Source organism: Homo sapiens, chromosome 9, assembly GCF_000001405.40.
Source record: "Homo sapiens chromosome 9, GRCh38.p14 Primary Assembly".
In the NCBI taxonomy this organism is placed as follows: Eukaryota; Metazoa; Chordata; class Mammalia; order Primates; family Hominidae; genus Homo; species Homo sapiens.
The window spans coordinates 100,686,412-100,713,851 of NC_000009.12; the positions used below are offsets into that span (position 1 = coordinate 100,686,412).

The 27,440-nt window shown below is 41.9% G+C and overlaps 2 annotated features.

The window, feature by feature from the left end:
* Window positions 4,173-4,673: an enhancer, noted in NCBI's record as "H3K4me1 hESC enhancer chr9:103452866-103453366 (GRCh37/hg19 assembly coordinates)". NCBI's record gives its function as "activates a minimal SCP1, AML or CMV promoter by ChIP-STARR-seq in naive H9 embryonic stem cells {active_cell/tissue: H9 hESC(naive)}" and the evidence as "EXISTENCE:reporter gene assay evidence [ECO:0000049][PMID:30033119]".
* Window positions 4,674-5,174: an enhancer, noted in NCBI's record as "H3K4me1 hESC enhancer chr9:103453367-103453867 (GRCh37/hg19 assembly coordinates)". NCBI's record gives its function as "activates a minimal SCP1, AML or CMV promoter by ChIP-STARR-seq in naive H9 embryonic stem cells {active_cell/tissue: H9 hESC(naive)}" and the evidence as "EXISTENCE:reporter gene assay evidence [ECO:0000049][PMID:30033119]".

Genomic DNA, 27,440 nt, shown 5'->3' on the forward strand with positions numbered 1-27,440 from the left:
CTGGTGGCCTGTGCCTGTAATCCCAGCTACTTGGGAGGCTGGGGCAGGGGAATTGCTTGAACTAGGGGCATGGGGGTGGCAGTGAGCCAAGATTGTGCCACTGTACTCTAGCCTGGGCAACAGAGCAAGACTCCATCTCCCCCCAAAAAAAAAGATTATTTACTCCCTCCTCCCCACCCTGCAATGTCACTCTCCAAGGTAGCTGAGACCTTGGCACAGTAGCTGATGTCTTACGTACCTGATGTTGGCCTTGGCCATGATTCTGATTTCACAGAGTGGTCCATAAAGCTGGCAAGCTGCACAGTGGTGAGATGCCACATAAACAAAATTCACATACAGGATATCGCTACATAAGCAATTACCTTTGCTCTTGCCTTGATCCTATTGACACAATTCCCACTGCTTCTGCAAAAGAGAAAAAAAACTCAAAATGTTTTTTGAAAATTCATGATTCACAAGTATGTATCATAAAGCAAAGACACTTAGAGCTGGAAGGGACAGAGTCAGCCCCCTCATTTTATAGTCAAGGAAGCACAGGCCTAAGTGACTTATCCAAGGTCACACAGCTAGTTTATCAGCAAGGTCAGAACTAGACCATAGTATTTGCTGTTGTTGATTATTTGTGAAATCGAAAACAGAAATAGTGTAGGTAAGAAAATCATGATAGCCCATGTTTCTCTCTGCTCACTTAAAAGTATATCCCCAAGCAATCTGAAAGTTTAAAAACTGTGCTTAGTCATACTGTCCATTCCATCAATTTGGGAACGGTAAGAAGAAATCTCTTTGTAAAATACTTATGTCTTTGGTGTGTTAAGTCGCAATAGGTCTTTCGTAGATAACTGTAACTTATTGATTAATGTTTCTGTTTTCCTAACACCTTCACCACTCATTTAGGGAGTAGTTGGTAATTTTGTAATGGGCAGGTGCCTGGCTGCACACTAAAGTCACCTGGGGGAGTTTTTACAACATGCCAGTGCCACTGAGGACCACTGTTAGAGATTGACTTGATTGGTTTGGGGTGAGATCTAAGCATCACTGTTTTTAAAAGGACTGCTAGATGATTCTAGGGTACAGCCAGAGCAAAAAACTATTATGCTAGAGTAATAGTTCTCGAAGTGTGCCCCGGGTCCAGAGGGATAAGTGTCATCTGGAGACTTGCCCAAATGCAGACTCCCAGATCCTTCCCCAAACCTACTGAGTCGGACAGAAGCTCTGAAGGTGGGGTCCAGCAAGCAGTGTTTTAAATAAGCTCCCCAGGTGATGGTAGTGAATGCTAAAGTTCAAGAAACCACTGGTCTAGCCCAGGGATGGGAAAAGTATGGGGCCTATTTTTGTAAATGAAGTTTAACGGGAACATGATCACACCCATTCATTTGTATATATTACAATGACAGGGTTCAGTAGTTGTGACCTAGACCATATGACCTTCAAGGCCTAAAATGTGTATTCTCTGTCCCTTGAAAGAAAAGGTTTCCTGATCCCAGAACTGTGCTTTTCAAATTTTAATGTACGTATGCGTCACTTGGGGATCTTGTCAAATTGCAGAATTTAGTTTGGTAGGCCTGGGATAGGACCTGAAATTCTGCATTTAACAGCTCCCAGGTGATGCTCAGGTTGAATAGAAGGGTATAGAGCAATATTCTCCAGTAGATTACAGGCTTAGGCTTGTAATCCCAGCACTCTGGGAGGCCGAGGTGAGTGGATCATATGAGATCAGGAGTTCCAGACCAGCCTGGCTAACATGGCGAAACCCTGTCTCTACTAAAAATACAAAAATTAGCCAGGTACGGTGGCATGCGCCTGTAGTCCCAGCTACTTGGGGGGCTGAGGCAGGAGAATCACTTGAATCCGGGAGGTGGAGGTTGCAGTGAGCCAAGATCATGCCACTGCACTCCATCCTGGGCAACAGAGTGAGACTCTGTCTCAAAAAAAAAAAAAAAAAAAAAAAAAAAAATGAAAGGAAGGAGGGAAGGAAAGAAGGAAGGAAGGAAATACAATGTGAGCCACAGATACCAGTTTAAATTTTCAAGCAGTCACAATAAAAAAATAAAAACAGGTGAAGTTAATTTGAGTAATATACTTTAACTCAATGTATCTAGAATATTATCACTTAAACATCTAATTAATGTTCAAAGTACTAATGAGATATTTTATGTTCTTTTTTGTATTAAGTCTTTGAAATCTGGTATTTTACACTGACATCTCAATTGTAGCTACATTTCAAGTGCCACGTGTGAATGGTGGCTACCAAATTGGTCAGTGCAGTCTACAGTTCAACTGGTATTTGGGGTGATAGGGAGTTTTTGATTTAGTTAAGTATGAAGGCAAATAGAGAAAGGAGACTAAGAGAAACCATACAACTTAACTTAAGGGAGGAGACCACCCCTCATATTGTCTTATGCCCAATTTCTGCCTCCAAAGAAAGAAGTAAAAACTAAAAGGCAGAAATGAAATCCACAAGCAGACAGCCCGACGCCACACCCTGGGCCTGGTAGTTAAAGATCGACCTCTGACCTAATCGGTTATGTTATCTATAGATTACAGACATTGTATAGAAAAGCACTGTGAAAATCCATGTCCTGTTCTGTTCCGATCTAATTACCGGTGCCTGCAGCCTCCACTCACATACCCCCTGCTTGCTCAATCGATCACAACCCTCTCAAGCAGACCCCCTTAGAGTTGTGAGCCCTTTTAAGGGACAGGAATTGCTCACTCAGGGAGCTCGGCTCTTGAGACAGGAGTCTTGCCGACGCTCCTGGCCTAATAAACTGCTTCCTTCTTTAACTCGGTGTCGGGGGGTTTTGTCTGCGGCTTGTCCTGCTACAAACTCACTTCAGAATTTTGCTCACATTTGACCTGGAGCTCAACAATCTCTTCCTCTTTACTCTGTGACTCTGGAGGCAGGGGAATTCTATAGCTTATGTATATTACAGGCGAGGGATGTAAGTGATGTGTTTAATGGACTGAGCTGGTCCACTGTGATTTAAAATATTATTACAGGAGAATATGATATGAATTTGAATTCTCAAATACTTCCGTGAATAAAGAGGATATATTCCAAGAACACTTAATTTTCATGATCTTGAATTCTTTCTAGCTGAGCTGAGAAGGTGCCAGGGATTAAGGTTAATTTCCTTGAAATGGGGAGGTGTTCCAGGCTTGGACCAAGGAAAGTTTTATTTCTGAGTTACCAGTTTGTGGAAACATCACAGCAGGAAGGAGCATGCTAGATGGAGTTTAGAAAAAACAAAGCCAGAAGATCCAGAGCCAAAAGATCAGTTGGCCTAGAAAGTCAAAGTAGGAGGGGAGGCAGAGAATGAAAATGGCGGGGGCGGGGGGGCAAAAAGAGTCAGAAGTGGGATAGTCAGAGGCAGGTTGAGGTACTGACAGGTTGGAAGGAAGTCTGGGTTTATTTAACCACAGGCTGCTGTGGTTACACCACTACCCCTTTCACTCTGAGGGGGAACAAAGAGAATGCTGAGCAGTACTAGAGGTAACAATAAGAAGGAGGGATGGGAGCCCATTGCAAAATGTGGATTCCTTGCCTGTTCTTGCTTGATCCCCCATCACAGAATTGAAGTCAATATTTTAAGCAAAAACGCTGCTCTTGGTCTGAAGAGCCTGGTTACAAAACATTAGGTGGAGACATGACTGGTTAGAAAGAGAGAAGAGAGTTTGGGCAGAGGGAGAATATGTGTTAGGGAAGAATATGTGTTAGGAAGAATATGTGTTAGGGAATGGAAAGTACAGTAATTTCCTATGGCTGCTGTAACAAATTACCACAGACTTCATGGCTTAAAACAACACACATTTATGATCTTACAATTCTGGAAGTCAGAAGTCTGAAATTTTTAGTCAGAGGGCTAAAAATCAAAGGATCAGGAAGGCCACCTTCCTTCTGGAGGCTCAAGAGGAGAGCGTTTCTTTGCGCTCCTCTATTTCTGGGAGCCAACTGCGTTCCTTGGATCATGGTGCCTTCTCCATCTTCAAAGCACATCACTCCAGCCACTGCTTCTGTCTCTCCACCTCCCTCTTCTGACTCTGATCCTCTCACTTCCCTCCCAGGAGGACCCTTGTGATTACACCAAACCCACCTGGATAATCTAGGGTAATCTCTCCATTTTAAGGTCCATAGCTTAGTCACAGCTGCAAAATCCTTTGAACCATGTAAGGTAATAGGTTCTGGGGTTTAGGATGTGGATGGACATCTGTGGGACCATGAGTCAGTCTACCACAGGAGGTCGGTATTGTGTCTGTTTCAGTTTTCAATGCTCTGATCAGCATTTTAAAGACTTGTGTCTGGAGGGAGGAGCCAAGATGGCTGAATAGGAACAGCTCGGGTCTACAGCTCCCAGCGTGAGCGACGCAGAAGATGGGTGATTTCTGCATTTCCATCTGAGGTACCAGGTTCATCTCACTAGGGAGTGCCAGACAGTGGGTGCAGGTCAGTGGGTGCATGCACCGTGCGCGAGCCGAAGCAGGGCGAGGCATTGCCTCACTTGGGAATAGCAAGGGTTCAGGGAGTTCCCTTTCCCAGTCAAAGAAAGGGGTGATGGACGCACCTGGAAAATCGGGTCACTCCCACCCGAATACTGCGCTTTTCCGACCGGCTTAAAAAAACGGCGCACCACGAGATTATATCCCACACCTGGCTCGGAGGGTCCTACGCCCATGGAGTCTCGCTGATTGCTAGCACAGCAGTCTGAGATCAAACTGCAAGGCGGCAGCGAGGCTGGGGGAGGGGCACCTGCCATTGCCCAGGCTTGCTTAGGTAAGCAAAGCAGCCGGGAAGCTGGAACTGGGTGGAGCCCACCACAGCTCAAGGAGGCCTGCCTGCCTCTGTAGGCTCCACCTCTGGGGGCAGGGCACAGACAAACAAAAAGACAGCAGTAACCCTGCAGACTTAAATGTCCCCGTCTGACAGCTTTGAAGAGAGCAGTGGTTCTCCCAGCATGCAGCTGGAGATCTGAGAACGGGCAGACTGTCTCCTCAAGTGGTTCCCTGACACCTGACCCCCGAGCAGCCTAACTGGGAGGCACCCCCCAGCAGGGGCACACCGACACCTCACATGGCAGGGTATTCCAACAGACCTGCAGCTGAGGGTCCTGTCTGTTAGAAGGAAAACTAACAAACAGAAAGGACATCCACACCAAAAACCCATCTGTACATCATCATCATCAAAGACCAAAAGTAGATAAATCCACAAAGATGGGGAAAAAACAGAACAGAAAAACTGGAAACTCTAAACAGCAGAGCGCCTCTCCTCCTCCAAAGGAACGCAGTTCCTCACCAGCAATGGAACAAAGCTGGATGGAGAATGACTTTGACGAGCTGAGAGAAGAAGGCTTCAGACGATCAAATTACTCTGAGCTATGGGAGGACATTCGAACCAAAGGCAAAGAAGTTGAAAACTTTGAAAAAAATTTAGAAGAATATATAACTAGAATAACCAATACAGAGAAGTGCTTAAAGGAGCTGATGGAGCTGAAAACCAAGGCTTGAGAACTACGTGAAGAATGCAGAAGCCTGAGGAGCTGATGCAATCAACTGGAAGAAAGGGTATCAGCAATGGAAGATGAAATGAATGAAATGAAGCGAGAAGGGAAGTTTAGAGAAAAAAGAATAAAAAGAAATGAGCAAAGCCTGCAAGAAATATGGGACTATGTGAAAAGACCAAATCTACGTCTGATTGGTGTACCTGAAAGTGATGGGGAGAATGGAACCAAGTTGGAAAACACTCTGCAGGATATTATCCGGGAGAAATTCCCCAATCTAGCAAGGCAGGCCAACGTTCAGATTCAGGAAATACAGAGAACGCCACAAAGATACTCCTCGAGAAGAGCAACTCCAAGACACATAATTGTCAGATTCACCAAAGTTGAAATGAAGGAAAAAATGTTAAGGGCAGCCAGAGAGAAAGGTCGGGTTACCCACAAAGGGAAGCCCATCAGACTAACAGCAGATCTCTTGGCAGAAACCCTACAAGCCAGAAGAGAGTGGGGGCCAATATTCAACATTCTTAAAGAAAAGAATTTTCAACCCAGAATTTCATATCCAGCCAAACTAAGCTTCATAAGTGAAGGAGAAATAAAATACTTTACAGACAAGCAAATGCTGAGAGATTTTGTCACCACCAGGCCTGCCCTAAAAGAGCTCCTGAAGGAAACGCTAAACATGGAAAGGAACAACCGGTACCAGCCACTGCAAAATCATGCCAAAATGTAAAGACCATCGAGACTAGGAAGAAACTGCATCAACTAATGAGCAAAATCACCAGCTAGCATCATAATGACAGGATCAAATTCACACATAACAATATTAACTTTAAATGTAAATGGACTAAATGCTCCAATTAAAAGACACAGACTGGCAAATTGGATAAAGAGTCAAGACCCAACAGTGTGCTGTGTTCAGGAAACCCATCTCACGTGCAGAGACACACATAGGCTCAAAATAAAAGGATGGAGGAAGATCTACCAAGCAAATGGAAAACAAAAAAAGGCAGGGGTTGCAATCCTAGTCTCTGATAAAACAGACTTTAAACCAACAAAGATCAAAAGAGACAAAGAAGGCCATTACATAATGGTAAAGGGATCAATTCAACAAGAAGAGCTAACTATCCTAAATATATATGCACCCAATACAGGAGCACCCAGATTCATAAAGCAAGTCCTGAGTGACCTACAAAGAGACTTAGACTCCCACACATTAATAATGGGAGACTTTAACACCCCACTGTCAACATTAGACAGATCAACGAGACAGAAAGTCAACAAGGATACCCAGGAATTGAACTCAGCTCTGCACCAAGCGGACCTAATAGACATCTACAGAACTCTCCACCCCAAATCAATAGAATATACATTTTTTTCAGCACCACACCACACCTATTCCAAAATTGACCACATACTTGGAAGTAAAGCTCTCCTCAGCAAATGTAAAAGAACAGAAATTATAACAAACTATCTCTCAGACCACAGTGCAATCAAACTAGAACTCAGGATTAAGAATCTCACTCAAAACCGCTCAACTACATGGAAACTGAACAACCTGCTCCTGAATGACTACTGGGTACATAACGAAATGAAGGCAGAAATAAAGATGTTCTTTGAAACCAACGAGAACAAAGGCACAACATACCAGAATCTCTGGGACGCATTCAAAGCAGTGTGTAGAGGGAAATTTATAGCACTAAATGCCCACAAGAGAAAGCAGGAAAGATCCAAAATTGACACCCTAACATCACAATTAAAAGAACTAGAAAAGCAAGAGCAAACACATTCAAAAGCTAGCAGAAGGCAAGAAATAACTAAAATCAGAGCAGAACTGAAGGAAATAGAGACACAAAAAACCCTTCAAAAAATTAATGAATCCAGGAGCTGGTTTTTTGAAAAGATCAACAAAATAGATAGACCGCTAGCAAGACTAATAAAGAAAAAAAGAGAGAAGAATCAAATAGACGCAATAAAAAATGATAAAGGGGATATCACCACCGATCCCACAGAAATACAAACTACCATCATAGAATACTACAAACACCTCTATGCAAATAAACCAGAAAATCTAGAAGAAATGGATAAATTCCTCGACACATACACTCTCCCAAGACTAAAGCAGGAAGAAGTTGAATCTCTGAATGGACCAATAACAGGATCTGAAATTGTGGCAATAATCAATAGCTTACCAACCAAAAAGAGTCCAGGACCAGATGGATTCACAGCCGAATTCTACCTGAGGTACAAGGAGGAACTGCTACTATTCCTTCTGAAAGTATTCCAATCAGTAGAAAAAGAGGGAATCCTCCCTAACTCATTTTATGAGGCCAGCATCGTTCTGATACCAAAGCTGGGCAGAGACACAACCAAAAAAGAGAATTTTAGACCAATATCCTTGATGAACATTGATGCAAAAATCCTCAATAAAATACTGGCAAAACGAATCCAGCAGCACATCAAAAAGCTTATCCACCATGATCAAATGGGCTTCATCCCTGGGATGCAAGGCTGGTTCAATATACGCAAATCAATAAATGTAATCCAGCATATAAACAGAGCCAAAGACAAAAACCACATGATTATCTCAGTAGATGCAGAAAAAGCCTTTGACAAAATTCAACAACCCTTCATGCTAAAAACTCTCAATAAATTAGGTATTGATGGGACATATTTCAAAATAATAAGAGCTATCTATGACAAACCCACAGCCAATATCATACTGAATGGGCAAAACTGGAAGCATTCCCTTTGAAAACTGGCACAAGACAGGGATGCCCTCTCTCACTACTCTTATTCAACATAGTGTTGGAAGTTCTGGCCAGGGCAATTAGGCAGGAGAAGGAAATAAAGGGTATTCAATTAGGAAAAGAGGAAGTTAAATTGTCCCTGTTTGCAGACGACATGATTGTATATCTAGAAAACCCCATTGTCTCAGCCCAAAATCTCCTTAAGCTGATAAGCAACTTTAGCAAAGTCTCAGGGTACAAAATCAATATACAAAAATCACAAGCATTCTTATACACCAACAACAGACAAACAGAGAGCCAAATCATGAGTGAGCTCCCATTCACAATTGCTTCAAAGAGAATAAAATACCTAGGAATCCAACTTACAAGGGATGTGAAGGACCTCTTCAAGGAGAACTACAAACCACTGCTCAAGGAAATAAAAGAGGATACAAACAAATGGAAGAACATTCCATGCTCATGGGTAGGAAGAATCAATATCGTGAAAATGGTCATACTGCCCAAGGTAATTTACAGATTCAATGCCATTCCCATCAAGCTACCAATGCCTTTCTTCACAGAATTGGAAAAAACTACTTTAAAGTTCATATGGAACCAAAAAAGAGCACGCATCTCCAAGTCAATCCTAAGCCAAAAGAACAAAGCTGGAGGCATCACACTACCTGACTTCAAACTATACTACAAGGCTACAGTAACCAAAACAGCATGGTACTGGTACCAAAACAGAGATATAGATCAATGGAACAGAACGGAGCCCTCAGAAATAACGCCACATATCTACAACTATCTGATCTTTGACAAACCTGAGAAAAACAAGCAATGGGGAAGGATTCCCTATTTAATAAATGGTGCTGGGAAAACTGGCTAGCCATATGTAGAAAGCTGAAACTGGATCCCTTCCTTACACCTTATACAAAAATCAATTCAAGATGGATTAAAGACTTAAACGTTAGACCTAAAACCATAAAAACCCTAGAAGAAAACCTAGGCATTACCATTCAGGACATAGGCATGGGCAAGGACTTCATGTCTAAAACACCAAAAGCAATGGCAACAAAAGCCAAAATTGACAAATGGGATCTAATTAAACTAAAGAGCTTCTGCACAGCAAAAGAAACTACCATCAGAGTGAACAGGCAACCTACAAAATGGGAGAAAATTTTTGCAACCTACTCATCTGACAAAGGGCTAATATCCAGAATCTACAATGAACTCCAACAAATTTACAAGAAAAAAACAAACAACCCCATCAAAAAGTGGGCGAAGGACATGAACAGATATTTGTCAAAAGAAGACATTTATGCAGCCAAAAAACACATGAAAAAATGCTCATCATCACTGGCCATCAGAGAAATGCAAATCAAAACCACAATGAGATACCATCTCCCACCAGTTAGAATGGCAATCATTAAAAAGTCAGGAAACAACAGGTGCTGGAGAGGATGTGGAGAAATAGGAACACTTTTACACTGTTGGTGGGACTGTAAACTAGTTCAACCATTGTGGATGTCAGTGTGGCGATTCCTCAGGGATCTAGAACTAGAAATACCATTTGACCCAGCCATCCCATTACTGGGTATATACCCAAAGGACTATAAATCATGCTGCTATAAAGACACATGCACACGTATGTTTATTGCGGCATTATTCACAATAGCAAAGACTTGGAACCAACCCAAATGTCCAACAATGATAGACTGGATTAAGAAAATGTGGCACATATACACCATGGAATACTATGCAGCCATAAAAAATGATGAGTTCATGTCCTTTGTAGGGACATGGATGAAATTGGAAGTCATCATTCTCAGTAAACTATTGCAAGAACAAAAAACCAAACACCGCATATTCTCACTCATAGGTGGGAATTGAACAATGAGATCACATGGACACAGGAAGGGGAATATCACACTCTGGGGACTGTGGTGGGGTGGGGGGAGGGGGGAGGGATAGCAGTGGGAGATATACCTAATGCTAGATGACGAGTTAGTGGGTGCAGCGCACCAGCATGGCACATGTATACATATGTAACTAACCTGCACAATGTGCACATGTACCCTAAAACTTAAAGTATAATAAAAAATAAATAAGTAAATTAAAAAAAAAAAGACTTGTGTCTGAATGTCAAGGAGAGAGCCTATGAGAAGGGGTTTAAACTCAGAAACCTGCAAGAGTCAGGAAGATAATAAAAACATGAGAAGCAGAGTGCAAAACAGTAGGCAGTGGTGGGCACTGTGCATGAACTAGAGACTGCATGCCTGTCTAAAGGGGGATAAGGCATCTTATCTATTTAATGAGGTGGAAGACAAGGTGATCCTCAGCTTCAGCTACTAGGTGGGCAGATAGGCAATAATATCAGATTCAGTTTTTCAAGAGAAGCTTTTAAATGAAGACTTTAGACAATGGTGTGTTGGGAAGTGTTCAATAACAAAATGTGTGTGTATGTGTGCGTATGCATATATGCAATATGTATTATAAATTTTACTGATATATAGAATGCATTGTAGCATACAATTTGAAAATACTCATAAAATTTAAAATACTGTGTGACTTGCTATTTCTTACTAAATCCATTATCAGGTTTTATAATTCTACCACCAACAACAGGGTCACATAACCAGACTATGAATAAAAGCTTGATTATTAGTGAAGTTCTAACATATCTTCGTTGTTTCACTTTTGTTGTTTTGTTATGGTTCATGAAAGTATCAACCAACATTCATATTATAACTATACTTGTTTATCAGGGAGATGAGTTACTTCTTTTCTGAACTGGATAATAGTTTTCAGATACTGGAAGAATATTTTGTCTATTTTTTGTGCTATTCACAATGTAAAGACTACAGACATAACACAGTTTTAAGTTTAATCTGCATTGTTAGCATTTTCTCCCTTACTTTCTTAAGCCTAGACAATCAACAAACAATGAACCAAGACCTTATTTGTAATGTTTGCCTATTTCTGTGGTGTCAATACCCTCATCACATGGCTTAGTTCAAGCCACCAAAGGATGTTATGTGGAATTATAAGAGACGTGCAATGGCATTCCATTAGATAGCATTTTCACTCTACAGATACAATAGGTATAAATTACTACAAGAACATAGGCCACAGTAAATTGTAATAAAATAATTAGCAAGTGATAAATTTTGAATATTTATTACCTTTACAAAATTTTATTTTTTAATAGCTTTAGGCTGGGCGTGGTGGCTCATGCCTGTTATCCCAGCACCTGTAGTCCTAGCTACTCTGGAGGCTGAGGTGGGAGGATCGCTTGAGCCTAAGAGGTCGAGGTTGCAGTGAGCTATGATTGTGCCACTTCACTCCAGCCTGGGTGACAGAGTGAAAACCTGTCTCAAACAAACAAACAAATGAACAATCAAACCCAGCTTTATTGAGATATAATTTGTATACCACAAAATTCACCCTTTGCATTCTAAAAATTTTAGTATGTTTACCAACTTGCACAATCATCACCACAACCTAATTGTTGCCTTTGTTTTAATAGAATTTATTTAGATGTATGTTTATATGACTTAAGTTTTAATGGCAGCTATGTATAACAGCCACTCACAAAATTCTTGAAAATGTAACCCTTAGCTCTTGCGAGTGGTTCTTCAGCACATCATTGATTTCATGTAAAATCTAATTCTAAAACATTGGCTCAATGTAAAAAGCAAAAACAAAAGCACACCAGCAATTTAGGTCTGGCTGAAAGGTTCATGATTTTGTGGTCTCTGTAAAATGAGAAATGAGCAGTGAGACTAGACGTTATGCAAGGAAGACCCCTGGGGTCACTGGGGGCCTGAGTGAGCTTTGCTTCCTCAGCCCCCTGCGTGAGTGTGGCACAGGAGGTACGTGGGACTCTCCCCCTTCAATATGCGGAACTGGGGGCAGTGAAGGTGCTGTTATGCCAAGCCTCAGTGGAGGCCTCCATGGGCGAAACCCTCAGTGGTGGGAGAGGCAGAGGCTGTGGCAAGGGGTCTTCATTCCTGCAGGTTTTCCTGGAGACTCTGGGGGAAACAGAGCAGGAGTAGAGGAAGAATGGAAGCTGCCACGTGAAGGTTGAGACATTTATAAGACATCCCAATTGGGATTCTCAAAATAGTTGGGATGATTTCTTTGGGGGAAGAGGGAAGATTCTGATGCCCTGGCATCTTTGTGAGGGTGTGTTAAAGTCACACTATATCTGGAAGGATTCTTATATTGGATGACTATATAATTTATATCCCAACCTGACGCACTTTGGAGAGTGAAAGTGAGTGTTATTAATAAAATAGCCAGGATATCAGGCATAAATTGGGACTGTTGTGGACAAACCAGATATGTGGCCACTTTACTTATAAAGGATCTAAGCTCATGGTTCTTGAAGGGGAGGAGCCATATCCAGTGAGGGACTTTTTCAAAATAAGCATGGAATTGGGAGTGGGATGAGCCTGGGCTGCGGAGGGCAGTTGTTTGCCAGAATTCAGTGCCAGGAGGGTGTGTAGTTCCCAGCAGCTCTCCAAGTGACTTTCTTGTCTCCTCCACCCTGAAGTCCACTCCATATAAGAACACAGAGGATCACAGGGCACTAGAATCATATGGTGGCTGAGCTTGGCACACAGCCTGGCACAGAGAAGGTGTTGATTGTTTATTGACTGCCTAACATAAGTCATGTGTCTTGATTTTTGGTCTGCTATCCTTTCTAGGAATTCTGTCAGTTTCTGGGCAAAGCAGCTGGAAGCTTCTGTGTGTGTGAGTGTGTGTGTGTGCATGTGTGTGTGTTGATTGCATGCACAGGATCCAGTGAGGGAGGAGTTGGTCTCACAATCCTGCAGACAATTCCCACCTCAGCTGTGACCTTGCCTGTTCTTCCCTTGCCCCTGTGACTCACCTGTGCAGTTCCTAAGGAGATGGATATAACCCCATCCCAGCATGACTAGACTGCCTTTGTTAGAAATTACTTTGCTCCAGGAGACTCTGAGCACAAACCTATTCTTAAGCTTGTACTGGTAGCCCCATGCCTGTAAGGTGCTGGGGAGAAAGACCACGTGAGAGAGAGAGGTAGCCTGGAAGCAAAGGACCATAAAATAGCACCTCCAGTCTCAGCGTAACCGTTCACGTGATGCGATACAGGCACCATATTTTCTGGGTCTAGCATGTCAGTAAATAATATGCCACAGATGTTGCTGAATATTTTATGATTAACGTGCCCCAGGAGTCCCTAAATGTTTTATAATTTCTGGGTAAAGAAAAAAAGCATCCAGCACTGTGCACTCTTAGCAGCAAGCTCAGAATTATTATGATGCCTAAGGTGGGAGGCATTCCCTCTTCTCATAATCACACTTTCAATGGTTACAAAGGTTAAAGCGTCAGTTCAGGGTGAACAGTGCAAACACAGGAACGTAGCATCTAACAGGAGGGGCAGAGACTAATTTCAGGACCACTATAATGACTCCATGGCTTGAATATGGATATAATCAGTCTTGAAAGATGAGACTGATGTCTCTGGCTTTTTTGGATTGAAGCCCTTTTTGGATTGATCTGTGGAGCAGGAGTGTTTTCTTTATGATGGGGAGGTACAGTTGTTTGTTTATAAGGGATGCATTTATCTCAAGAATTGGTTTCCTCTGTCATTCTCAGCAAACTAACACAGGAACAGAAAACCAAACACCACATGTTCTCACTCATAGGTGGGAGCTGAGCAATGAAAACACATGGACACAGGGAGGGGAACATCACACACCAGGGCCTATCGGGGGTGGGGGGCTAGGGGAGGGATAGCATTAAGAGAAATACCTAATGTAGATGATGGGTTGATGGGTGCAGCAAACCACCATGGCACATGTATACCTATGTAACAAACCTGGACGTTCTGCACGTGTACCCCAGAACTTAAAGTATAATAATTAAAAAAAAAAAGACCTGGACTTTAAGGTCAAATAGATGTGGATTTAAATCTAGCTCCCTGATCTGCAGATGCTTATTTGTGAAATTAATATAAGTCCTATTTTTCAGAGTTGTTATGAAGATACAATAAAAAAGGTATCTAAAAAAAATTGGTTTCCTCCTAAGAAGTAAATCTTCATGGCCCTCTATATTTAACACACCTCTACATTGTTTAAACAGCAGAGGGCGCCCTATTGACAGCAAACTTACACCCAACAGCGGGGACCAAATGGTCTCAGGGGTGTGTGTACCCTTAATCTACCTCTGCATATACCTTCAGTGAACTCAGAGTGGAATCTGGCTCCGCAGGTCAGGGTAGGAGACAAGGTAAAATTAGAGAGCTGTGGAGGAGGGGTGAAACAGTGTGGGGTCATGGTGAATGAAGCCCATGGACTTAGGGCACATGATTGCAGATTCAAATTCCAGCATTGCTTCTTACTAGCTCTGTGTCCTTGAGTTATTTGTCCTCCCTTCAGTTTCCTTATTAATACAGTGGTGATAGATACTTGTTTGTAAAGCCCTTGGCCCAATGCCTGGCCTATGCGAATTACCCAATAAATATTAACTTAAAAAAAAAAAAGCAAGCAAGTAAACACTCTCAGGTTCTGACTAGGAGAAGATAGAAGCAGAAAATGAGCAGGGAGCCTATTCGCCCACAAGCCTGGAATGACTCATTCTGGAAAATGTTACACAGACTAAGGATTGATATATATGCTCATTTACTGATTTTAAACAATCCTTTATTGGTTGCAAATAGGTTTTGCTTATTTTATAATTGTTTTCCATTTATTTGGGAGGTGCTGGTACTTTTTCACACCAAAATGATTTGACAGTGTAAAATTCTAAAATAGAAGTCTGAAATCATACTATGAAATAATTCTTTTTTTTTCAGGGAGTAATTGGATATGACCAAGAAAAACAGCTAATTTAAAGAAAAGTGATGTAAACTATTGGGACATCTTTCTAAACCTCGCTTCAGATTTTGGGGTTTGAAGATGCAAAGGAAATGGCTCCTCGTCATTCTTCAATTTGAATGATGGGGACCTCCCTTGACATAGTTGATAGAATTTCAGAGCAGGAAGTGTCCTTAAGGGTCTCACACTTTAATAAGTACCCTTACCCACCCCTTCCGCCCCCCACACTCCCCACCCAATTAAATAAATATCTCTTGGTGTGAGGCTAGGTTATCAGCACTGTTACAAGCTTCTCATGCAATTCTTATATGCAACGGTACTGTGAACCTTTGATCTATGCCCATCATTTTACAGCTGGGGAAAGTACTTTTTGCTAGTGGGGAAGATATTTGCCTATCCTCCAAGCAGCCTTCAAAATGATGGTCTTAAAACAGAAATTTAGCAGATTAAAAGCCCTCAATGCCCTCTCTGCTCTCCCATCTCTCTCCAGCTTTCAGGACAAAGTTCAGGACTTCCAGTTAAATCACAATTCCTTTCAGTATTTGCCTCAGTTTTTCTATTCCCCTTACCTCACTTCCTACACCCTTCTCTCTAGTCAGGCCCAACTGCTTGCAGTTCTGGAATGTGGGGTGGCGCTGCCCAGTGTCATATCTTAACAAATGCCTTTCCTTCCTCCTGCTAGGCTGTCTTTATCTCTTTCTTCATTTTCAAAATGCAGCTCAAGCTGAGACATCCAAGTAGTGAGGGAAAGAGGGAGCATTAGTGGTTGATATCCTGTGTCAAAACATCGTGGATTTTTTTTTTTTTAAAGACTGGGAAAGTTCCTCGAGATTCTCTAAGTTCAAGCTCAGACGCTTTCAGGGCTAGGCTGGTATCGTAAATGTGTGAAGGAAAACCGGATATGAGACAAAAAGGTGACAGGACCCTGGCCATCTGGAGAGCAGGTGTCCCATTTAAAGGTGATTAAATTCAACTTTTTGAGAAGCACTGAACGTTCAGCCCAGGAGCTACCAATTTGCCACCCCTCCAATCACCCTGGTTTACAGAGAAACTGAGAGCCCATGTGAGTCAGCTGAGGACTTGGTTGTATACAGCAACGGGAGAGCCCAGGCCTTCTGAATCCAGGTTCAATCTTCTTCATAGCATGCAATAAACCTTTGGCACATTTTCCTTCTCAATTTTATTGCATTTATTCCACATAATAATAAAGACCAACATTTATACAATGGTATACAATTAGTAAAAAAGAGCCCTCGCTTTATTTTAAAAACTGCAGATCAGGAAGGTGCTATAGAAACATGTATATTACTTCCTGTTGGACTTCTTGTCTACAGAGGCAGAAGGCAACCTTCATTAGGTCTGCCTGGAAGCCGGTCTCAGCTCCAGTGATATTCTAGTCTGAGACCATGTAGGGGGCAAGTGAATCCTTGCCAAGCTTCTCTCCCCACTCACAGTTACTGTGCAATGAAATCTTATCTCTGATGTCTGATTTATGGATTACCCTCTCTAGGCTGCCTGGATGGATTTTATCCCTTAAGGATTATTAAAAATAAAAACATCTTGCCGGGCGCGGTGGCTCACGCCTATAATCCCAGCACTTTGGGAGGCCGAGGCGGGCGGATCACGAGGTCAGGAGATTGAGACCATCCTGGCTAACACGGTGAAACCCCGTCTCTACTAAAAATACAAAAACAATTCTCCGGGCGTGGTGGTGGGCGCCTGTAGTCCCAGCTACTCGGGAGGCGGAGGCAGGAGAATGGTGTGAACCCGGGAGACGGAGCTTGCAGTGAGCTGAGATCACGCCACTGCACTCCAGCCTGGGCGACAGAGCTACATCCGTCTCAAAAATAAATAAATAAATAAATACAAACATCTTACCTAGCCTTATTTTCTAGAAGAAAGAGGTTTGTTCAACCAGACAAAAGTATACACTGAAATGTCAGTGTTATCCTCCTATGTGACCGAGACGGAGGCTGAACATTTTCTCTGGCTTGGTGGATCGCTCCTGTACTGGCTGGGTACCTAAAGCATCCCCTTTGGGAGAGAGGAAAGGCTTTGCTCTCACACGTGGACACCCTGGGCTCATTGGTCTGCTTCAGGGGTCACGGTCCAAACGAAGGTGTGGAGACTACGTGGATCTGCTCTTGGCTTTTCTGAAAGAAGCTGCTCTCAATTCCCAGTTTCTATTTACCTCAAGAGACAACTATACAAATAGCTATGTTGGCTTCTTTGCTAAAGGATTCACTGTTGTAGACAGAGGAGAGTCTTACATACATCATGCCATCAGCAGGGGTGGGAAGTAGATAGCAGAAATAAGGAGAAAAGGGAGTGTGGTGTGCAGGGTATTATGTATCTTGATTGGTCAGTAGATGGCACAGGCTTGGAGTGGAGGGGCTGAGATTTAGGGATATCTATTATTTATCAAGGTGACTCTCCCTTTCCTCCACATTAAAGCATCTCATAATAGATGGGAGACCTCCCTCCTTCCCGGACACTTATCATCCCTCTGTCTTGTTGTTATGTTGTGGTTACCAATAGTGGTATGAGATACAGTTTGTTATGTTGTGGTTACCAATAGTTTATGAGATACAGACAACTCCCCTGCCCAGTACTCCTGAATGGCCAGGTGTGTCTGTGTTCATGCTGTGGTCACAGAAAGGGAAAACTCTCCTTGCAAAGCAGATGAGTCTGTGTTTCAGGCAAACACTTTAATGTCACTTTCTTGCCTTGAAAGTCTAGATTGAAGAAATACGCATATTTGCAATACAAGGAAAAAATATAAATTTAAAAGAAAAATAAAACCATAAGAATGAAGGAACAGTAAATTATCTTTTTACTCTATAGAGGGAAAGGACAAATTATAGAGTTGTTTTAAATAGCAAGATGTCCAATAATTTTGAAAATATTTCCCTTTAGGTACAACTTTTAAGAAACACAATGGTATTTTTTTGTGTAGTATTTATATTATTTTCACTTTTCATTTTATTTCATTTTTTAATTATACTTTAAGTTCTAGGGTACATGTGCACAACGTGCAGGTTTGTTACATAGGTATACATGTGCCATGTTGGTTTGCTGCACCCATCAACTCGTCATTTATATTAGGTATTTCTCTAATGCTATCCCTCCCCCAGACCGCACCCCCTGACAGGCCCAGTGTGTGATGTTCCCTGTGCTGTGTCCACGTGTTCTCATTGTTCAACTCCCACCTGTGAGTGAGAACATGTGGTATTTGGTTTTCTGTCCTTGTGATAGTTTGCTTAAAATGATGGTTTCCAGCTTCATCCATGTCCCTGCAAAGGACATGAACCCATCCTTTTTTATGGTTGCATAGTATTTCATGTCATATAAGTGCCACATTTTCTTAATCCAGTTTATCATTGATGGACATTTGGGTTGGTTCCAAGTCTTTGGTATTGTGAATAGTGCCACAATAAACGTGTGCATGTGTCTTTATAGCAGCATGATTTATAATCCTTTGGGTGTATACCCAGTAATGGGATGGCTGGGTCAAATGGTATTTCTAGTTCTAGATCCTTGGGGAATTGCCACACTGTCTTCCACAATGGTAGAACTAATTTACACTCCCACCAACAGTGTAAAGTGTTGCTATTTCTCCACATCCTCTCCAGCATCTGTTGTTTCCTGACTTTTTAATGATCACCATTCTAACTGGCATGAGATGGCATCTCACTGTGGTTTTGATTTGCATTGCTCTGATGACCAGTGATGATGAACATTTTTTCATAAGTTTGTTGGCCGCATAAATGTCTTCTTTTGACAAGTATCTGTTCATATCCTTCGCTCACTTTTTGATGGGGTTGTTTTTTTTTTTCTTGTAAATTTCTTTAAGTTCTTTGTAGATTCTGGATATTAGCCCTTTGTCAGATGGGTAGATTGCAAAAATTTTCTCCCATTCTGTAGGTTGCCTGTTCGCTCTGATGATGGTTTTTTTTTTTTTTGCTGTGCAGAAGCTCTTTAGTTTAATTAGATCCCATTTGTCAATTTTGGCTTTTGTTGCCATTGCTTCTGGTGTTTTAGTCATGAAGTCTTTGCCCATGCCTATGTTCTGAATGGTATTGCCTAGGTTTTCTTCTGGGATTTTTGTGGTGTTACATCTTATGTTTAAGAATTTAATCCAACTTGAGTTAATTTTTGTATATGGCGTAATGAAGGGATCCAGTTTCAGCTTTCTACATATGGCTAGCCAGTTTTCCCAGCACCATTTATTAAATAGGGAATCCTTTCCCCATTTCTTGTTTTTGTCAGGTTTGTCAAAGATCAGATGATTGTAGATGTGTGGTGTTATTTCTGAGGCCTCTGTTCTGTTCCATTGGTCTATACATCTGTTTTGGTACCAGTACCATGCTGTTTTGGTTACTGTAGCCTTGTAGTATAGTTTGAAGTCAGGTAATGTGATGCCTCCAGCTTTGTTCTTTTTGCTTAGGATTGTCTTGGCTATGCAGGCTCTTTTTTGGTTCCGTATAAATTTTAAAGTAGTTTTTTCCAATTCTGTGAAGAAAGTCAATGGTAGCTTGATGAGGATAGCATTGAATCTATAAATTACCTTGGGCAGTATGGTCATTTTCACAATATTGATTCTTCCTACCCATGAGCATGGAATGTTCTTCCACTTGTTTGTGCCCTCTTTTATTTCGTTGAGCAGTGGTTTTTAGTACTCCTTGAAGAGGTCCTTCACATCCCTTGTAAGTTGTATTCCTAGGTATTTTATTCTCTTTGTAGTAATTGTGAATGGGAGTTCACCGATGATTTGGCTCTCTGTTTGTCTACTATTTGTGTATAGGAATGTTCGTGAGTTTTGCACATTGATTTTGTATCCTGAGATTTTGCTGAAGTTGCTCATTAGGTTAAGGAGATTTTGGGCTGAGACAATGGGGTTTTCTAAATATACAATCATGTTTTCTGCAAACAGGGACAGTTTGACTTCCTCTTTTCCTAATTGAATATCCTTTATTTCTTTCTCTTGCCTGATTCCCCTAGCCAGAACTTCCAACACTATGTTGAATAGGAGTGGTGAGAGAGGGCATCCTTGTCTTGTGCTGTTTTTCAAAGGGAATGCTTCCAGTTTTTGCCCATTCAGTATGATATTGGCTGTGGGTTTGTCATAAATAGCTCTTATTATTTTGAGATACATTCCACAATACCTAGTTTATTGAGAGTTTTTAGCATGAAGTGCTGTTGAATTTTGTCAAAGGCCTTTTCTGCATGTATTAAGGTAATCATGTGTTTTTTGTCATTGGTTCTCTTTATGTGATGGATTATGTTTATCGATTTGTGTATGTTGAACCAGCCTTGGATCCCAGGGATGAAGCCAACTTGATTGTGGTGGATAAGCTTTGTGATGTGCTGCTGGATTTGATTTGCCAGTATTTTATTGAGGATTTTTGCATTGATATTCATCAGGGATATAGGTCTAAAATTCTCTTTTCTTGTTGTGTCTCTGCCAGGCTTTGGTATCAGGCTGATGCTGGCCTCATAAAATGAGTTAGGGAGGATTCCCTCCTCTTCTATTGATTGGAATAGTTTCAGAAGGAATGGTACCAGCTCCTCTTTGTACCTCTGGTAGAATTTGGCTGTGAATCCATCTGGTCCTGGAGTTTTTTTGGTTGGTAGGCTATTAATTATTGCCTCAATTTCAGAACCTGTTATTGTTCTATTCAGAGATTCAACTTCTTCCTGGTTTAGTCTTGGGGGGTGTATGTGTCCAGGAATTTATCCATATCTTCTAGATTTTCTAATTTATTTGCATAGAGATGTTTACAGTATTTTCTGATGGTAGTTTGTGTTTCTGTGGGATTGGTGGGATATCCCCTTTATCATTTTTTATTTTGTCTATTTGGTTCTTCTCTCTTTTTTTCTTTATTAGTCTTGCTAGTGGTGATCTTTTCAAAAAACGAGCTCCTAGATTCATTGATTTTTTGAAGGGCTTTTTCTGTCTCTATCTCCTTCAATTCTGCTCTGATCATAGTTATTTCTTGCCTTCTGCTAGCTTTTGAATTTTTTGCTCTTGCTTCTCTAGATCTTTTAATTGTGATGTTAGGGTGTGGATTTGAAATCTTTCCTGCTTTCTCTTGAGGGCATTTAGTGCTATAAATTTCCTTCTACATACTGCTTTAAATGTGTCCCAGAGATTCTGGTATGTTGTGTCTTTGTTCTCATTGGTTTCAAAGAACATCTTTATTTCTGCCTTCATTTCATTATGTACCCAGTAGTCATTCAGGAGCAGGTTGTTCAGTTTCCATGTAGTTGAGCAGTTTTGAGTGAGTTTCTTCAACCTGAGTTCTAATTTGACTGCCCTGTGGTCTGAGAGACAGTTTGTTGTGACTTCTGTTTTTCACATTTGCTGAGGAGTGTTTTACTTCCAATTATGTGGTCAATTTTAGAATAAGTGTGATATGGTGCTGAGAAAAATGTATATTCTGTTGATTTGGGGTGGAGAGTTCTGGAGATGTCTATTAGATCTGCTTGGTGCAGAGCTGAGTTCAAGTCCTGGATATCCTTGTTAATTTTCTGTCTTGTTGATCTGTCTAATATTGACAGTGGGGTGTTAAAATCTCCCATTAGTATTGTGTGGGAGCCTAAGTCTCTTTGTAGATCTCTAAGGACTTGCTTTATGAATCTGGGTGATCCTGTATTGAGTGCATATATATTTAGGACAGTTAGCTCTTCTTGTTGAATTGATCTCTTTACCATTATGTAGTGGCCTTCTTTGTCTCTTTTGGTCTTTGTTGGTTTAAAGTCTGTTTTATCAGATACTAGGATTGGAACCCCTGCTTTGTTTTGCTTTCCATTTGCTTGGTAGATCTTCCTCCATCCCTTTATTTTGAGCCTATGTGTGTCTTTGCACATGAGATGGGTCTCCTGAATACAGCACATGAATGGGTCTTGACTCTTTAACTAATTTGCCAGTATGTGTCTTTTAATTGGGGCATTTAGCCCATTTACATTTAAGGTTAATATTGTTATGTTTGAATTTGATCCAGTCATTATGATGTTAGCTGGTTATTTTGCCCATTAATTGATGCAGTTTCTTCATAGTGTTGATGGTCTTTACAATTAGGCATGTTTTTGCAGTGGCTGGTACCTGTTGTCCTTTCCATGTTTAGTGCTTTCTTCAGGAGCTCTTGTAAGGCAGGCCTGGTATCTCTCAGCATTTGCTTGTCTGTAAAGGATATTATTTCTCCTTCGCTTATGAAGCTTAGTTTGGCTGGATATGAAATTCTGGGTTGAAAATTCTTTTCTTTAAGGTTGTTGACTATTGGCCCCCACTCTCTTCTGGCTTGTGGGGTTTCCCGAGAGATCTGCTATTAGTTTGATGGGCTTCCCTTTGTGGGTAACCTGACCTTTCTCTCTGGCTGCCCTTAACATTTTTTCCTTCATTTCAACTTTGGTGAATCTGACAATTATGTGTCTTGTGGTTGTTCTTCTCGAGGGGTATCTTTGTGGTGTTCTCTATATTTCCTGAATTTGAATGTTGGCCTGCTTTGCTAGGTTGGGGAAGTTCTCCTGAATAATATCCTGAGGAGTGTTTTCTAACTTGGTTCCATTCTCCCTGTCACTTTCCGGTACACCAATCAAATGTTGATTTGGTCTTTTCACATAGTCCTATATTTCTTGGAGGCTTTGTTCATTTCTTTCCACTCTTTTTTCTCTAACCTTGTCTTCTCGCTTTGTTTCCTTAATTTGATCTTCAATCACTGATAGCCTTTCTTCTACTTGATTGAATTGGCTATTGAAGCTTGTGGATGCTTCACGAAGTTCTCATGCTGTGGTTTTCAGCTCCATCAGGTCATTTAAGGTCTTCTCTACACTATTCTAGTTAGGCATTCATCTAATCTTTTTTCAAGGTTTTTAGCTTCCTTGCGATGGGTTAGAACAAGCTCCTTTAGCTGGGAGAAGTTTGTTATTACCGACTTTCTGAAGCCTACTTCTGTCAACTCGTCAAACTTACTCTCCATCCAGTTTTGTTCCCTTGCTGGCAAGGAGCTGAGATCCTCTGGAGGAGAAGACATGCTCTGGTTTTTGGAATTTTCACCTTTTCTGCTCTGGTTTCTCCCCATCTTTGTGGTTTTATCTACCTTTGGTCTTTGATGTTGGTGAACTACAATGGGGTTTTGGGGTGGATGTCCTTTTTGTTGATGTTGATGCTACTCCTTTCTGTTTGTTAGTTTTCCTTCTAACAGACAGGCCCCTCAGCTGCAGGTCTGTTGGAGTTTGCTGGAGGTCCACTCTGACCCTGTTTTGCTGGGTATCTCCAGCAGAGGCTACAGAACAGCAAATATTGCTGCCTGATCCTTTCTCTGGAAGCTTCATCCCAGAGAGGTACTCGCTTGTTTGAAGTGTCTGTCAGCCCCTACTGGGAGGTGTCTCCCAGTCAGGCTACACAGGGGTCAGGGACCCACTTGAGGAAGCAATTTGTCCATTCTCAGAGCTTGAATGCCATGCTGAGGGAACCACTGGACGTTTAAGTCTGCAGAAGCTGTTTACTGCCTTTTGTTCAGATATGCCCTGCCCCTAGAGGTGGAATCTAGAGAGGCAGTAGTCCTTGCTAAGCTATGGTGGACCCCACCCAATTCAAGCTTCCCAGCTGCTTTGTTTACACTGTGAGCTACTCAAGCCTCACAATGGCGGATGCCCCCCTCCCTCATCAAGCTGCACCATTGCAAGTTAATCTCAGACTGCTGCACTAGCAGTGAGCAAGCCTCTGTGGGCATGGGACCCACCGGGCCAGGCATGGGAGGGTACCTCCTGGTCGGCTGGTTGCTGAGACCATGGGAAAAGTGCAGTATTTGGTCAGGAGTGTACCATTTCTCCAGGTACAGTCTGTCTCAGTTCCCTTGGGTGGGAAAGGGAAATCCCTTGGCCCCTTGTGCTTCCTGGTTGAGGCAATGCTGTGACCTGCTTCAGCTTGCTCTCCATGGGCTGCATCCCCTGTCCAACCAGTCCCAGTGAGATGAACCAGTACCTCAGTTGGAAATGCAGAAATCACCCGTCATCTGCATCGATCTCACTGGGAGCTGCAGACTGGAGCTATTCCTATTTGGCCATCTTGGAAGCGACCCCCTTCACTATTCATTTTAAATACAAAGCTGATCTTAGATATATAGAAACCTAAGCTATCTTTAAAGATAAGAAAGTTCATATTTATAAAGGTCTTCCTTTCCACTCTGATTTCATGATTTTCATAAATATAACTAAACTGTGATTTGTCATAAGCCAAAGTCACAAGTTGGACTTGTAACTGCAATGTATTAAATTTATATTTAGGCATTACATCTGTGTATCACTGTGTCCTTATGTATCTGATACTGTGAGATCAACAAAGCCTGGAGAAAGTGCTGGAGACACCTTCCTTATAGTCTAGTTCTTAGAAAACTCTCAATATTCAAAAGGCATTACATTTATTCTTTAAAACATTTTAAATAAGAAATGACTCCATTAAACAATCCACAAAGAAAGCCATCTCTCTTAAAGCTTTCCATGTTCATAAAACTCCCCAAATGTGTAGTTTTTATTTGGTAATTTAATTTCTGCTGCAGATGTCTATCCAATTTATTTGCGATTTATCACCGATTTTAATTTATAGTGAAAGTACTGGGCCAGATTTGTAAAGAGATAATATTTTTCTCCTCATTTCATTCTAGATTCAATGAATAATTGGTCTTTCCCATTATTATTAATTTATCTTTGCACACTAATGCTTTTGAACAATGATGAGTTTCACAAAATTCTTCTCCAGCTGTCACCTGGAAACTTTTTGTGCCAATGTTATTTTAGATTTATGCTAATAAAAATTTATTCCAGTTTTAAGACTTTAAATCCTCCTACATTTACTTGCCAAATACACCGTGTGAGTTCTTGAACAAGTTGCCTCCTTGCATCAGTCCATTTTCATGCTGCTGATAAAGACATACCTGAGACTGGGGAATTTACAAAAGAAATAGTTTCATTGGACTTACAGTTTCACATGGCTGGGGAGGCCTCACAATCGTGGTGGAAGGCAAGGAGGAGCAAGTCACATCTTACATAGATGGCAGCGGCAAAATGAGAGCTTGTGCAGAAAAACTCCCGTTTTTAAAACCATCAGATCTCATGTGACCCATTCACTATCACAAGGACAGCACAGGAGAGACCTGCCCTCATGATTCAATCATCTCTCACTGGGTTCCTTCCCACAATATGTGGGAATTATGGAAGCTCCAAGGTGAGATTTGTGTGGGGACACAGGGCTAAACCATATTGTTCTGCCCGGCCCCTGTAAAATCTCATATCTGCACATTTCAAAACCAATTATGCCTTCCCAACAGTCCCCCAAACTCTCAACTCATTTCAGCATTAACTCAAAAGTCCACAGCCAAAGTCTCATCTGAGACAAGGCAAGTCCCTTCCTCCTATGACCCTGTAAAATCAAAAGCAAGTTAGTTCCTTCCTAGATACAATGGGGATACAGGCATTGGGTAAATACAGCCATTCCAAATGGGAGAAATTGGCTGAAACAAAGGGGCTAAAGGCCCCAGGCAAGTCTGAAATCCAGTAGAGCAGTCAAATCTTAAAGCTCAAAGTGATCACCTTTGATTCCATGTCTCACATCCAGGTCCGCTGATGCAAGAGGTGGATTCCCATGGTCTTGGGGAGCTCTGCCCCTGTGCTTTGCAGGGTACAGCCTCCCTCCTGGCTGCTTTCATGGACTGATGTTGAGTGTCTGAATCTTTTCCAGGTGCACAGTGCAAACTTTTGGTGGATCTACCATTCTGGGAGCACAGTGCAAACTGTTGGTGGATCTATCATTCTGGGGTCTGGAGGATGGTGGCCGTCTTCTCACAGCTCCACTAAGTGGTATCCCAGTAGTGACTCTGTGGGGGGGCTCCAACCCCACATTTCCCTTCCATACTGCCCTAGCAGAGGTTCTCCATGAGGGCCCCACCCCTGCAGCAAACTTCTGCCTGGGCATCCAGGCATTTCCATACATCCTCTGAAATCTAGGTGGAGGTTCCTAAACCTCAATGCTTGATTTCTGTGCACCTGCAGGCTCAACACCATGTGGAAGCTGCCAAAGCTTGGGGCTTCCACCCTCTGAAGCCACGGCCTGAGCTCTATGTTGGCCCATTTCAGCCATGGCTGGGGCAGCTGGGACACAGGGCACGAAGTGCCTAGGCTGCACACAGCATGGGGACCTTGGGCCTGGCCCCCGAAACCACTTTTTCCTCCTAGGCCTCTGGGCCTGTGGTGGGAGGGGCTGCTGCAAAGGTCTCTGACAGTTGGAGATAGTTTCCCCATTGTCTTGGTGATTAACGTTTGGCTCCTCATTACTTATGCAAATTTCTGCAGCTCACTTGAATTTTTCCTCAGAAAATGGGATTTTCTTTTCTATTGCATTGTCAGGCTGCAAATTTTCTAAACTTTTATGCTCTGTTTCCCTTTTGAAACTGAATGCCTTTAACAGCGTCCAACTTTCCTCTTGAATGCTTTGTTGCTTAGAAATTTCTTCCACCATATACCCTAAATCATCTCTCTCAAGTTCAAAGCTCCACAAATCTCTAGGGCAGGGGCAAAATGCTGCCAGTCTTTTTGCTAAAAAATAACAAGAGTCACCTTTGCTCCAGTTCCCAATAAGTTCCTCATCTCCATCTGACACCACCTCAGCCTAAATTTCATTGTCCATATCATTATCAGCATTTTGGTAAAAGCCATTCAACAAGTCTCTAGGGAGTTCCAAACTTTCTCACATTTTCCTCTTCTTCTGAGCCCTCCAAACTGTTCCAACCTCTGCCTGTTACTTAGTTTCAAGGTTGCTTCCACATTTTTGGGTATCTTTTCAGCAGTGTCCCACTCTACTGGTACCAATTTATTGTGTTAGTCTGTTTTCATGCTCCTGATAAAGTCATACCTGAGATTGGGCAATTTACAAAAGAAAGAGGTTTATTGGACTTCCAGTTCCACATGGCTGGGGAGGCCTCACAATCATGGCAGAAGGATGAGCAAGTCACATCTTACATGGATGGCAGCAGGCAAAAAGAGAGCAGAGAAACTCCCATTTTAAAAACCATCAGAACTCGTGAGACCCACTCACTCTCACGAGAACAGCATTGAAAAGACCTACCCCCATGATTCAATCATCTCCCACTGGGTCCTTCCCACAACAAGTGGGAATTATGGGAGCTACAAGATGAGATTTGGGTGGGGACACAGAGCCAAACCATATCACTATTACACGAGTCAGAATATCCTTGTCTATATAGTGAAAATGTAATACTTGTCTCCCTTCTTCAGAAAAAGGCAGTGTAGCCCAATGGTTGAGAGAAATGATTTCTGTAGTCATATGGGCCAGTGTT